The sequence below is a fragment of the Homo sapiens genome, chromosome 12 (assembly GCF_000001405.40).
Source record: "Homo sapiens chromosome 12, GRCh38.p14 Primary Assembly".
Taxonomy (NCBI): Eukaryota; Metazoa; Chordata; class Mammalia; order Primates; family Hominidae; genus Homo; species Homo sapiens.
The window spans coordinates 32,287,901-32,302,649 of NC_000012.12; the positions used below are offsets into that span (position 1 = coordinate 32,287,901).

Below are 14,749 nucleotides of genomic sequence, written 5' to 3' on the forward strand. Positions count from 1 at the left end.
CACTGGGCCAAATAGTCCAAGATGGCCTTCCTCCCATGCCCAGCAGCTGGTGCTGACTGCAGGCTGGGCCACATGGCTCCAACAGGCTACCCTGGGGCTCTTCACATAGTCACAGTGTTACAAGACAGCAAGAGCATGAGCCACAAAGCCCCGTGAGGCTCAGGCTCAGAACTCCCCAGCACTTCCACTGTCTTCTGTGGGTCATAACAAATCCAAAGGCCAGCTCAGTCAGTTTGAGAGGGAATTCCATGGGTTGTGACTTCAGGGAAGTGTGATTAATTGGGGGCCATTAATATACTTACCTGTCACCTACCAAGTCCTAATTTTTTTTTTTTTTTTTTTTTTTTCTGAGACAGGGTCTCACTCTGTAGCCCAGGCTGGAGTGTAGTGGCATGATCATGGCTCACTGCAGGCTTGACCTTTGGGGCTCAAGCAATCCTCCCACTTCAGCCCCCTGACTAGCTGGGACTAAAAGTGTGCACCACCATACCTGGCTAATTTTGGCATGTTCTTTTTTTGTACAAAATAATCTTCTGGATGGGGCTCACCATGTTGCCCAGGCTGGTCTCAAACTCCTGGACTCAAGTGATCCTCCCATCTCAGCCTCCCAAGGTGTGGGGTTTACAGGCATGAACCACTGTGCCCAGCCTATGTCATAATTTTAAAAATTATTATAATAAGTTGGCCGGGCTTGGTGACTCACACTTGTAATCCCAGCACTTTGGGAGGCCAACGCAGGTGGATCACTTGAGGTCAGAAGTTCAAGACCAGCCTGGCCAACACAACGAAATCCTGTCTCTAGTAAAAATACAAAAATTAGCCAGGTGTGGTAGCAGGCACCTGTAATCCCAGCTACTTGGGAGACTGAGGCACAAGAATCACTTGAACCTGGGAGGCGGAGGTTGCAGTGAGCCAAGATCATGCCACTGTACTCCAGCCTGGGTGACAGAGCAAGACTCTTTCAAAAAAAAAAAAAATTATAGTAATTTTAACATGTTCGGTGTTTTCTGTAATTTTGTCTTTTACACTTTTTAAAATATTATTCTGAGAAGAGGTACATAGGCTTCAGCACATTGTCAAAGAGGGTCAAGCACATTATGAGATTAGGAGCCCTTGATCTAAAGGCAGGGAGTTCTGGAAAGAGGAGTATAGAAGCCTCAAGGCAGAAGCAAGCTGGCATGTCCAATGGGATAGAGGAGCAGAAGGAAAGCTCCTGCGGCCAGAGCCAAAGATTGAGGGGCAGAGTGGTTGGAGACAGAGGTAGGGCCAGATCATGTGACTTCTTTGAAAGCTTCTGAAACTTGCAAAGGGACCTCCACTTCCCCACTGCACCATACCCACAGAGTGTGAAAGTAGGTATTGTATGTAAATTGTATTTTATGATTTTTTGGGGTCATTGCTAACTTTTTTCAGTTATCTTGGCAGAAATAAGAAAATTCTTTTTTGCTATTCCATATATCTATTGTGATATCAGAGTCTGTTGTTTGTTTGTGTGTTTGTTTGTTTAAGACAGTCTTGCTCTGTTGCCAGGCTGAAGTGCAGTGGTGCGATCTCAGCTCACTGCAACTTCTGCTTCCCAGGTTCAAGTGATTCTCCTGCTTCAGCCTCCCAAGTAGCTAGGACTACAGGCGCGTGCCACCACACCCAGCTAATTTTTGTATTCTTAGTAGAGACAGGGTTTCACCATGTTGGCCAGGATGGTTTGATCTCTCGAACTTGTGATCCGCCCACCTTGGCCTCCCAAAGTGCTGGGATTACAGGCGTAAGCCACCGCACCCAGCCCCAGAGTCTGTTGTTTATAGAGGATGATTGGGCGTAGCTTTCTAGAGCTGGGAAAACCACCTTTAAACAGTATTATATACCAATATTTACTATTTCATAAATTCAGGCATATTTGCTTAAAATAATCTCCTGTAGAGAGGCAAGAAACAGAAGCCCATTTTTTTGTTTTTAGGAAATTCATAGAAGCCTTTGGTAAGGTTCTTTTAAGTTGGCAAACTCTATTTTCAGAAGACTTCTATGTTGACACTTGTGACCTACAGAATTGCTTTAAGAGGTCAGCACTGATAAAAACAGAGGGAAGCTGTAAAGGGAGGATTAGGCTAAAGTCAACTGGTGGAGTAGGCATAGGTGAATTACTAAAGTGTTGATGAAATGACTCTGTTGGAGTTACCAGTTTATTATAATGAGAGCTAAAGTGAAAAACGCCAGACAGCCTAGAAGCATTCTGAATAACAAGGAGCTCCAACCCCTTATATATAAATGAGGTTACATATAGTAGGTTGAAAGCAGGTTTCCAAAACAACCAATTAGTTTGTATAGCTTCAGCTTCAGGATTGATGATTACATTCCATAGGATATTACATTAAATTGATGAAATCTGCACGTCTCTGGGGAACTCCTTACAAGCTAGCCAGTGAGCTTTTATGATGATAAGATACAGAATGGATAAAAATCTTCTGATGCCAAAAAAGCTTTGGCCCTGCCCAAGTTAGGATCTATATTCATATTATCACCAGGTAAAGTGTCTTGCAAACTTTCTTAGCTTTCATTCCTATCAGACTGCAGTTCATGACTGTGAGGTGTCAAAGACTCTCTCCTTAACCAAGCTTCAGTCATGCTCTGCTAATGTCTCTTTTGGACCAGGCTTCAAGCTTGCTCCACCCCCAGCTTTGGCTTGCCCAGCCCAGCCTTAGCAAGGAATTCTGCTAAGTCATCTCCCAACCCTAGATATCTAATTACCCTTGATATCTGATCAAGTTCTTCATCCTCCACCTTTTTGATGTCTAAGTCCTTGGACTGCCTTTAGCAAGAGTCCTGTTAGGCCAGCTTAGCAAGAATTCCCCTGCCCTTGATGTGTTCTTTTAGCAATTTCCCATCCTTTGACATCCTCATGCTGTTCTTGGCTATAAATCTTCACTTGCTCTTGCTGTTTCAGAGTTGAGCCCCTTCTTTTCCCCCCTCCAATTGCAATGGTTTTGAATGAAGTCTTCCTTACCATTTTAACAAGTGTCAGAATAATTTTTTTAACATCTGTCTTTACACCACAGTCAACAACCCCTTATCCTCCCCAAAACTCTGAGCTAACGCCACTACTTAGAGATTACAGTGTCTGCCTATTTTATTAGCTGGAACTGCATCAGTGATTTTGGAGTTGAATTTTTCATTTTTTACATGAAAGATTATGTGTTTATAATTTGTTGTTTTCACATATGCATAAACAGAACTAGGAAGAGCTGTACTCAGGAGTCAAGTCAGAAGAAAAAACATCACCATGTTCAAATAGACAACTGAACATGCCTCTGAAAACCAGAGACAAAGGGAGTTATTTACAGTTAACATCTATAGAATATGGGCCGGGTGTAGTGGCTCACGCTTATAATCCCAGCACTTTGGGAGGCCAAAGCAGGAGGATTGCTTGAGCCCAGGCATTCGAGACCAGCTTAGGCAACATGGCGAGACCCCACCTCTATAAAAAATTTAAAAATTAGCTGGGCGTGATGGTGTGCATCTGTAGGCCCAGCTACTCAGGAGGCTGAGGTGGGAGGATCACTTAAGCCTGGGAGGTCAAGGCTACAATAAGCTGTGATTAAGGCACCTGGGCAACAGAGCAAGACCCTGCTTCTACCAAAAAAAAAAATATATATTAAATTTGTAGAAGTCTGGGCACAGTGGCTCACACCTGTAATCCCAGCACTTTGGGGGCTGAGGCAGAAGGATTGCCTTCACGAGTTTGAGACCAGCCTGGGCAACATAGTGAAATACCATCTCTACAAAAAATACAAAAATGAGCCAGTTGTGCTGGTGTACACCTGTAGTCCCAGCTACTTAGGAGGCTGAGGTGGGAGAATCACTTGAGCCTGGGAGGTCAAGACTGCAGTAAGCCGTGATCATGCCACTGCACTGTAGCATGGGTGACAGAGTGAGAACATGTCTTTAAAAAAAAAAAATCTGTGGACTATGAAGCAAGATGAGAGACATTTGAAAGCATATGTCGGAAAGTCAGGTATACTTCTAGAGCTGGCTCTCTGTTAGGATAGAGACCTTTAAAATGTTTCTAGTGCTTGCAGATGTCACCCTACCCTCCTGCAAAGATAACAGTGCATTTACTTCTGTCACTGTAGATTAGTTTTGCCCAGGTATTCTTTTCTTAGGGCTGCCGTAACAAAGTCTGGGTGGCTTTAAAACAACAGAAATTTATCGTCTCACAGTTCTGGAGGCCAAAAGTCAGAAATCATGGTGTCGGCAGGGCCATGCTCCCTCTGGCAGCTCTAGGGAAAGGCCTTTCCTTGCCCCTTCCTGGCTTCTGGTGTTTGCTGGCAATCCTTGATGTTCCTTGGCGTGTAGATGGGTCACTTCGGTCTTTGCCTCCATGGTCACGTGGCCATCTTTTCCCTGTGTTTCTTCACATAGTCTTCCCATCCCACATGCAGAAGTATGTGTCAGTTTCTGTGTGGCTGAATTTCCCCTTTTTATAAAGACAGCAGCCCTATCGGATTGGGCCTCCTCTAATGATCTCATTTTAATTTTTGCCTTTGTAAAGACCCTGGGAGTTAGGACTTCAACATGTCTTTTTTGGGAGACAATTGAACCTACATAGCATGTTTTTGAACTTTACATGCAGAATCATATTGTATGTAGTCTTTTGCATCTGGCTTATTTCAGTCAATATATTAGTGAGATTCATCTGTGTTGCAATAGCAGTTTCTATTCATTGTCAGTCCTACCTACCACTATATCAAGGCTCTGCAAATTATGGTGTGAAGGCCAAATGCATCATGACTTATTTTTTTCGCATATGGATATCTAGGTATTACATAAGAAAATGTGGTTTTTGGTTTCTATGATACTTCTTCCCATATTTCTCTTTGTTTGAATAGGAAACAAATCTAATTAATCCTTAATTAAAAGAAAACTTTTATATCCCATCTTTCCATGACTATGAATATGTTACATGTATAAATGTTTATATCTGTTATGTGGTCATTATACATTTTGAACTAAAACATAGCTTATACTTGCCATATAAGTTTATGGAAAAAGTTAAATATTTTACTTAATTGATTGATTTATATCCTGTAACTTTACACATAAGTCCTGGTAATACAAGCTTGTTGTTAAAAAAAAAATTGAAATGATCCAGAAGGACATAAAATCAAACGAATAGGCTCCTCTCCTTATCCCTGTGGCTTGCCCAGTCTAATTCTTTATAAGTCACCGCTATTGACAGTTTTCTGGATATTCTTACAAATATTTTTTCTGACATGGAAGTGTGCATGTATCTGTGTATGTGTGTGTTCCCTGTATTTCTAACATACCTGGGATCCTAATATGCATACTAATCTATGACTTGCTTTTCACATTTAATAATATATTGTGACTACATTTCCATTTTAGTACAATAAAGTTTCTCCTCATTCTTTTTTTCTGTTTTTGAGATAGAGTCTTGCTCTGTTGCCCAGGCTGGAGTGAAGTGGCCTGATCTCGGCTCACTGCAACCTCCGCATCCCAGGTTCAAGTGACTCTCCTGCCTCAGCCTCCCAAGTAGCTAGGATTACAGGCGCCCACCACCACGCCTGGCTAATTTTTTTTTTTTTTTTGGTATTTTTAGTAGAGACGGGGTTTCACCATGTTGGCCAGGTTGGTCTCAAACTCCTGACCTCAGGTGATCCACCTACCTTGACCTCCCAAAGTGCTGGGATTACAGGTGTGAGCCACAGCGCCCGGCCTTTCTCGTTTCTTAAAATAATTTTATAATGTTCCGTTCAATGGATGCATGATAATGTGTTCCCCAAATAGCAAACGTTTAGACTGTTTCCAATTTTTTGTGTAAGTATACATGGATTTGTTTCTGTTTCTATTTACTTCTATGAAAACATACTTAAGAATGATTTTTAGATGTTGAATTGCTGGGTAATATATATGTGCTTTTAAGTTTTTGACAGATACCACTAAATTGCCATTCGAAAAAATGCAGTAACAATTTACACCCCATGAGGTGTTTTTATTATTATTTTTAACTACCAGGACTTTACACCTTGTAAAATCTACAATAAGAGAGTTATATATTGACTGTTTACTCTGTTGTTTCAGAACAATGAGATGGTGGAGCTACAGAGAATACGGATGAAGGATGAAATCCGAGAATATAAGTTCCGGGAGGCACGGCTCCTTCAGGACTATACTGAATTGGAAGAAGAAAATATCACATTGCAGAAACTAGTGTCCACGTTGAAGCAGAACCAGGTAAGGTTTAAGAAATTTTTTGTTATACTGAAGATGGATCTACATCTTCTGACCACTAGGGTTAAATCTCCAAACTTGTCAGAATTTATTGTTACTCTTTTATCTTCTCTCTATAACATTTATGTACTGCAATGTCCCAACCCTCCTATTTCAGCTAAAATATAGAAGGAAAAAATACACCTGTAAGTAGTATAGTGTACACTAAAGTTTTATTGAATAAGAAAAAGAATTTTAGTTTTTATTTTAGCTCTGTGTTCATTTATTTCATAAGTCAAATGTATCGTAACAAATTTAACCTGACAACTTCTCATTAAAAGCCTGAGTCTTAGCCGGGCATGGTGGTGTGTTCCTGTAATCCCAGCTACTTGGGAGGCTGAGGCAGGAGAATCACTTGAACCCAAGACGTCAAGGTAGCAGTGAGCCCAGATTGTGCCACTGCACTCCAGCCTTGGTGACAGAGTGAGACTCCGTCTTAAAAAAAAAAAAAAAAAAAAAAAAAGCCTGGGTCTGTAAGCTTGTCTATGAGCTTAGGGTCTCCCTACAATCACTGGTCTCTCACTCCCTTAAAATTTTTTCTGTAAATTGCTTTCAAATCGTAGAGGGGAATGGATTATGAAGTATAAATCAAGAAGAGCAAAATTATAAGAAAAAGAGGCCGGGCGTGGTGGTTCATGCCCGTAATCCCAGCACTTTGGGAGGCCGAGGCGGGTGGATCACCTGAGGTCAGGAGTTTGAGACCAGTCTGGCCAACATGATGAAACCCCGTCTCTACTAAAAATACAAAAATTAGCCAGGCATGTTGGTGGGTACCTGTAATCTCAGCTACTCAGGAGGCTAAGGCAGGAGAATTGCTTGAACCCAGGATGCGGAGGTTGCAGTGAGCCGAGATTACACCACTGCACTCCAGCCTGGGTGACAGAGTGAGATTCCGTCTCGAAAAAAAAAAAAAAAAAGAAAAAGAAAATGCCTGTTTTCTTTTTCAGCTGTAACCTGACTACAAAGATTACATTCGTACATTTAAATGATTTTTTTGCTGTAATGGGGGTTTGATAGCTTAATTTTCCTGATTGGTTTGCATTGTGGATTTTCAGAACTATTAATAATTATTGAATCTGTAATTTTAGAAGAATTTATTTATGAATACAGTTGAATCGAGTAGTTAATTAAGCAAAGGTGAATTGGATGTTCGAGTTCTTTTCAAGGTGCTTCCTCAGCGACACCTCTATTCTGGTCTAAACGCTGTTGCCACCTCTCAGTTCAGATCAACAGCCTATGTGCCAGGTGCTGTGCTAGGTTGGACAGACACAAGAATCCATAGGGCATGATTCTTGTCCTCTGTAAACTTAGAAGCCAGCCCAGATGTATGCTTTTACCTCACTCCCTTCCTGAGTTGGTATCTACATGATACACTGATTGATTGATTGATTGATAGATATAAGGGTTAAGAGGGAAAAGAAAAAAAATCCAGAAGAGAAAAATCCATGTAGTGGCACAATTAAAATTTGATTTCTTTTTTTTTTTTTTTGCGACAGAGTCTTGCTGTGTTGCCCAGGCTGGAGTGCAGTGGCATGATCTCAGCTCACTGCAACCTCCACCTCCTGGTTCAAGCAATTCTCCTGCCTCAGCCTCCCGAGTAGCTGGGATTACAGGCATGAGCCACCACACCCAGCTAATTTTTGTATTTTCAGTAAAGACAGGGTTGTACCATGTTGGCCAAGCTGGTCTTGAACTCCTGAGCTCAAGTGATCCGTCCACCTCAGCCTCCCAAAGTGCTGGGATTACAAGCACGAGCCACAGCGTCTGGCCAAAATTTGATTTCTGATCATTGCCACTTCCCCCAGATTTGGAGTGCTGGGGGGAAGGCATGTAAGGGGACAGTTTCAGTCCATCAAAAAAGGGCTACTGGAGTATCCCCATGTGTTTCTGCCTCATTCCTTCCGTAAGCACTGAATCCCCATATGTGTGCTGAGGGCTGGCCATTCCAGAGGCTCCCCAGGTCTTGATTTGGCTGGGATAAGTGAGCTCACAGTGGAGAAATGTAGACTTAGAAAAATACATTTGTAAAGATGCTTCTCGAATACTTTTTAAAATAAGAAGGGGTTTTTTTTTGTTTTTTTTTTTTTTTTTTGAGAGACGGAGTCTCGCTCCGTCACCAGGCTGGAGTGCAGTGGCGCGATCTTGGCTCACTGCAACCTCTGCCTCCTGGGTTCAAGCGATTCTCCTGCCTCAGCCTCCCGAGTAGCTGGGACTACATGCATGTATCACCACGCCTGGCTAATTTTTTATATTTTTAGTAGAGATGGGGTTTCAACGTGTTAGCCAGGATGGTCTCGATCTCCTGACCTCATGATCTGCCCGCCTCAGCCTCCCAAAGTGCTGAGATTATAGGTGTGAGCCACCACGCCTGACCTAAGAAGGGTATTTTCTTGTGGTCCTTTTTTTGGTTATTGATGAAACACATAGAGGATTTGAAACAAATTTACTTGAAGTGCAACTATTTAAAGTGGCCCTTCCTTCCCGATTCCTACACTCCTCACTGCTCTCTAGAGCATGGTGAGAGCACGATCAGCAGCCTCCCTGGAGAGCCTTCCCTGACCGCATGTGGAGACTGATGGACTCAGGAGGTTAATGAAGGCCAGTATTAGATATTCTTGAAAGACTGCCAAGGTATCCCTTGAGTATTCATTAACCCAGATGCCGGTTCTGGGAGAATTTGTACTGTCATTCCTGTTGTGAGTTTCCCCATGCCCTTCTCCCAGTAATTGAAACATGGAATCCAATGGTTAACTCAGAAGTTTTTTAAAAAGGAGGGGGGACTTACACATTTTTTATTTCCAACATGCCATATGCTAATTTTCCCAATTAAGTATCTAATTAATTCATTCAAAATCATTTTCTGCACAGAGCACCATTCTGGTTTATTCCCTGAAATTGGGGGAACTGAAATGCCACAAGTCTCTCCCAGCTAAGAAAATGCTGTGTTTGTTTCCAGTAGTAACTGATCTTTCTTTATAGATGCTAGCATCTATCATAAACTCTCTCTAATCAATAAAGTTTTTTGGTTTTTTGGGGTTTTCTTGAGACAGGGTCTTGCTCTGTCACCCAGGCTGGAATGCAGTGGCTTAATCTCGGCTCACTGCAACCTCCGCCTCCTGGTCTTGTGACTCGGCCTCCTGAGTAGCTGGGATTACAGGCGTGTGCCACCATGTCCAGCTAATTTTTGTATTTTTAGTTGAGACAGGGTTTTGCCATGTTGCCCTCCCTATGTTGCCCAGGCTGGACTCAAGTGATCGCCCACCTCTGCCTCCCAAAGTGCTGGGATTACAGGCATGAGCCACCATGCCCGGCCCTAATTAATGAAGTGTTAAGTACAATATTGTATGTACAAATGCCACAGAGTTTTTTAAAGAGATGACAATGAGTAGCATTCGGTCACAAAATTGGACTGTGTTACTTTGTACTGAAGTTCCCAATACGTTGTATAGTCCTTCAGCCTGGTTTGATGTTTCTCTAAACAGCAAAGCTACTACCATTTTAAAATGCTTAGTTCAAAGAATTTTCCCTTCTGAAGTATTATTTTTCTTTTAGTTATTTATTATTTTCTAAGTACAGTGTAATTATTGTTTAAAAAACACCTCTTACTTTCTATAAAGAGTCTATTTACATTCCATTTCCTTCCATTAACATATAGCACCTACGATAGAGCCTGATCCACAGTAGATATTAAATAAATACTTGTTGAAAGAATAAGAAAACTGGCCAGGCACGGTGGCTCATGCCTGTAATCTCAGCACTTTGGGAGGCTGAGGAGGATCACTTGAGTCCAAAAGTTTGAGACCAGCCTGGGCAACATAGGGAGACCTCATCTCTACCAACAACAAAAAAAATTAACCAAGTGTGATGATGCACACCTGTGGTTCCAGCTACTTGGGAGGCTGAGATGGAAGGATTACTTGAGCCTGGGAGGCTGAGGCTGCAGTGAGCTGTGATCACACCTCTGTACTCCAGCCTGAGCGATAGAGTGAGACCCTGTCTCAAAAAAAAAAAATGGGAAAAAAAAAAGCAACAATTCAGTCACACTTCTAATATGAAACATTTCCTCCAATGTCAGGTAATAATATATAAGAATATCACCCTGGGTGCAATGGCTGATGCCTGGAATCCCAGCACTTTGGGAGGCCGAGGTGGGCGGATCGCGAGGTCAGGAGTTCGAGATCAGTCTGGCCAACATAGTGAAACCCTGTCTCTACTAAAAATATAAAAAAGAAATTAGCCGGGCGTGGTGACAGGTGCCTGTAGTCCTAGCTACTCAGGAGGCTGAGGCAGGAGAATCGCTTGAACCCAGGAGGCGGAGGTTGCAGTGAGCCGAGATCACGCCACTGCACTGCAGCCTGGGTGACACAGTGAGACTCCGATCCACCTCAAAAAAAAAAAAAAAAAGAGGCTGGGCATGGTGGCTCATGCCTGTAATCCCAGCACTTGGGGAGGCCGAGGCGGGCAGATCACCTGAGGTCTGGAGTTCGAGACCAGCCTGACCAACATAGAGAAACCCCGTCTCTACTAAAAATACAAAATTAGCCGGGCGTGGTGGCACATGCCTGTAATCCCAGCTACTAGGGAGGCTGAGGCAGGAGAATCGCTTGAACCTGGGAGGCAGAGATTGCAGTGAGCCGAGATCATGCCATTGCACTCCAGCCTGGGCAACAAGAGTGAAACTCCATCTCAAAAAAAAAAAAAAAAAAAGAATATCATAAGGTAATATCATAAAAGACCTAGGAAATGTATTCAGTTGTTTTATTTCATTTAACCGGTATTTCAGGGGTATCTCTCTATGAGATCATGTACTTTTTAGAGACAAAAGATACAGTCACTGGCTCAAAGAGCTTGTAGTCCCAATAGGGACTCCTAGCAATTTGTGTAAATGAATATTAAAGCCACATGTTAGGTTTGGCAACACAGGGATAGATTAAGATCTTTAGAGTTCCTAAGCTCTGAAAGGATTATGATATCTAACCTTGACCGTCATGTAGTTAAAAATAAAGTTATTAAACTATGAAGTTGCCATAAGGAATCCTAATAAAGCACTTATTTTTCCTATGGTGACTGCTTTGATGTTGTCTTTAAAATATCAAACACCAGTTTTTAAGCACCTTCTTGTTCCGTTTCTTGCTTCCTCTGCTTTGCTGGGGCTCTAATCACATGGTGCAGCCTTACAACAACGGCACAGAAAGGAGTGATGAGTTTGCCTCAGTGGGCACCAAAGACTTCAGTTAGGATGAGATTCTTAACTTAGGTGTTAAAAGAGGAATAAGAGTTTTCCAGATGACAGCCTTTTCCCAGGCGGAGAAACATGAAACAGCTGGGTGAATAGTAGGAGCTTGTACCACATTTGAGTGAGTGGTGTGAGTGAAGCTGCCCAGACAGAAAGAGATCAGGGCCAGGCACGGTGGCTCACACCTGTAATCCCAACACTTTAGGAGGCCAAGTCACGAGGATCACTTGAGTTTGAAACCAGCTTGGGCAACATAGTGAGACCTCGTCTCTACAAAAAAACAATTTAAAAAATGAGGCGAGAGGATGACTTGAGTCCAGGAGGTTGAGGCTCCAATGAGCCATGATTGTGCCACTGGACTCCTGCCTGGGTGACATAGCAAGAGATCGGGTCTTACAGGAAGTCTAGGCCATCAATTGAATAAATACTACTGAATTTTAAACTCTGCAGTGCAAACTAAATTAATGTCTTCAAGTCAAGACCAGAGTTAGCAAACTTTTTCTGTGAAGGGCCAGATAGTAAGTATCTTAGGTTTCATAGGTCACATGATCTCTCTTGCGACTACCCAGCTCTGCTCTGGTAGAAGCAGCCATAGACAACATGTAAACAAATACATGGGAGTGTGTTCCAATAGAACTGTCTACACGAAAATAGGTGGTGGGCTGGATTTGCTCCGGAGGACATACTATTTTTTTTTTTTTGAGACAGAGGCTCGCTCTGTCGCCCAGGCTGGAGTGCAATGGTGCGATCTCAGCTCACTGCAAGCTCTGCCTCCCGGGTTCACGCCATTCTCCTGCCTCAGCCTCCCAAGTAGCTGGGACTACAGGCACCCGCCACCATGCCTGGCTAATTTTCTTGTATTTTTTAGTAGAGACGGTGTTTCACCGTGTTAGTCAGGATGATCTCGATCTCCTGACCTCATGATCCTCCTGCCTCGGCCTCCCAAAGTGCTGGGATTACAGGCATGAGCCACCGTGCCCAGCCAGGACATACTATTATTGGACAACCTCTGGTCTAGGCCATCAGTTTAACAAAGATTGCAGCAAAACAGGTCTACAATGCAAACTAAAGTAATGTCTGCAAATATAAGCTTATCACATAATCTGGGGCAGTCAGAGGGTTGGTTGAAATACTAGGAAAGGTTGGCAAGAGGTGTCCTATGTTGTCCAGGGAAAGAAAAGGAAAGGGTTGAGAGGAAGATGACTTTACAGTATTTTTTTTTTTTTTTTTTTTTTTTTTTTTGGAGACAGAGTCCAGCTCTTTTGCCCAGGCTGGAGTGCAGTGGAAGCAATCCTGGCTCACTGCAAGCTCTGCCTCCCGGGTTCACGCCATTCTCCTGCCTCAGCCTCCTGAGTAGCTGGGACTACAGGCACCCACCACCATGCCCAGCTAAATTTTTTTTTTTTGTATTTTTAGTAGAGACAGGGTTTCACTGTGTTAGCCAGTATGGTCTTGATCTCCTGACCTCATGATCCACCCACCCCAGCCTCCCAAAGTGCTGGGATTACAGGCGCGAGTCACTGCGCCCGGCCCAACTTTACAGTATTTAAGCAGGCCTGAAAGAAACCATGACACAAGGAAACACACTGCTGTCTGAAGCAATTTCCAAGTTGCCTTTCTTATAACCACACTGAGGGCAATCCTTGCTTCTCCTTTCATAAGGAGGTAAAGGCCCTTCTGATTTCCATACTCCTTCATCCCAAGTCACCTGCAAAGCAGTAAATCATGTTGAGCATGCGTTTCTGGATTCCTCTCTTCCTCCACACTTCATCCTCAGTTTCCCCCTGCTTCCTGGCTAACAAATTGAGATTCCTATAATCAGAGAATGAACCTTTCATTTCACTACCAGAGATAAAGTAAAAAATGCATGTTTTTGCTTGAAGTAACAACCTAGTTGAAATGCAGTCAGTCAGCAAGTATAAAGGAAAGGTGACTGGATGCTTTAGTGTGGGAAAGGTTGTTTGCTCGGTGGAAAAGGTTGGAGAGAGTCAGTCACAGGGCAGGAGCAGTGAACTCAAATGACCACAAGCAGCTTATAAATAGCATTAAGTACAAGATGTAAACAAAAAGTAGAGGCCGAGTGCAGTGGCTCACGCCTGTAATCCCAGCACTTCGGGAGGCTGAGGTGGAAGGATTGCTTCGGTCCAGGAGTTTGAGACCAGCCTGGGCAACATGGTACAAAACCTTGTCTCTACAAAAAGAAAAAAAAAGCCAAGCATGGAGGTATGCGCCTGCAATCCCAGCTACCCAGGAGGCTGAGGTGGGAGGATTGATTGAGACTGGGAGATCAAGGCTGTAGTGAGCTGTGATCAAGCCACTGTACTCTAGCCTGGGCAACAGAGCAAGACCCTGTCACAAACAAACAAACAAAAGAAAAAGTAGATGGAAAAGGAACAGCCAGTGCTCACTTACAGGTGATTTTTGTGCTCTGTGAAGGTGGGCCCAGTGTTGCCTGAATTATTTATTTATTTTTATTTACTTATTTTTAGACGGAGTCTTGCTCTGTCGCCCAGGCTGGAGTGCAGTGGCGCGATCTCGGCTCACTGCAACCTCTGCTTCCTGGGTTCACGCCATTCTCCTGCCTCAGCCTTCTGAGTAGCTGGGACTACATGCACCTGCCACCACGCCCCACTAATTTTTTGTATTTTTAGTAGAGACGGGGTTTCACTGTGTTAGCTAGGATGGTCTTGATCTCCTGACCTCGTGATCCGCCCGCCTCAGCCTCCCAAAGTGCTGGGATTACAGGCGTGAGCCACTGAGCCCAGCCCGAACTTTTGATTTTTTTAAAAAAGAAATCAGAAGTTTTCAAATGTTTGTGAAATCATCAGTTTTCTAAATATTGGCAATCAATTCCAAAAGTTTTATAACGTGTTACAAGCCAAATAAAGCACATCTATAGGCTCGATGGTCTATGGGCACCCCTTGTGATCTCTGCTTTAAATCATTTGATGTCTGAATTGGTGGAAGGGACACGGGAGCACACACCAGCCTGGGGAGCCCACTAGAGTACAGAATGCAAACTACAGGGACACATGCCTTTGAGCAGGTAGTAGATAGCCAGGGCCTGTCAAGTTATTAGGTGTCCCAGGCCAGGTAATAACTCCTTGGAGTTGTGAAAAGTATATTTCATTTCCATGCCATCATGTTTGTAACATGCTATTTATAGTGCCCAGTTATCATTTTTCCCAAAGTGCAATTTTTCTCCCATGAAGTACTCATAATCTTAAGTAA

General features: G+C 43.1%; 1 protein-coding gene across 29 annotated transcripts in view, besides 1 other annotated feature; it reads left to right on the plus strand.

Moving 5' to 3' along the window:
* BICD1 (BICD cargo adaptor 1) overlaps positions 1-14,749 on the plus strand; it is a 276,787-nt gene that overhangs the window by 181,054 nt on the left and 80,984 nt on the right. For all 29 annotated transcript variants that reach the window (NR_148725.2, NM_001413168.1, NM_001354186.2 and 26 more), the window contains exon 3: positions 6,094-6,246. Coding sequence is in view for 28 of the 29 variants with exons in the window: in NM_001413168.1 (NP_001400097.1) it covers positions 6,094-6,246 (153 nt within the window). In the remaining variant the exon portion in view is untranslated. The remainder of the gene's footprint in view (positions 1-6,093; positions 6,247-14,749) is intronic.
* Positions 10,667-10,838: a silencer, noted in NCBI's record as "fragment chr12:32451501-32451672 (GRCh37/hg19 assembly coordinates)". NCBI's record gives its function as "represses an EF-1alpha promoter that drives an FKBP-Casp9 reporter gene in an ReSE screen in K562 erythroleukemia cells {active_cell/tissue: K562}" and the evidence as "EXISTENCE:reporter gene assay evidence [ECO:0000049][PMID:32094911]".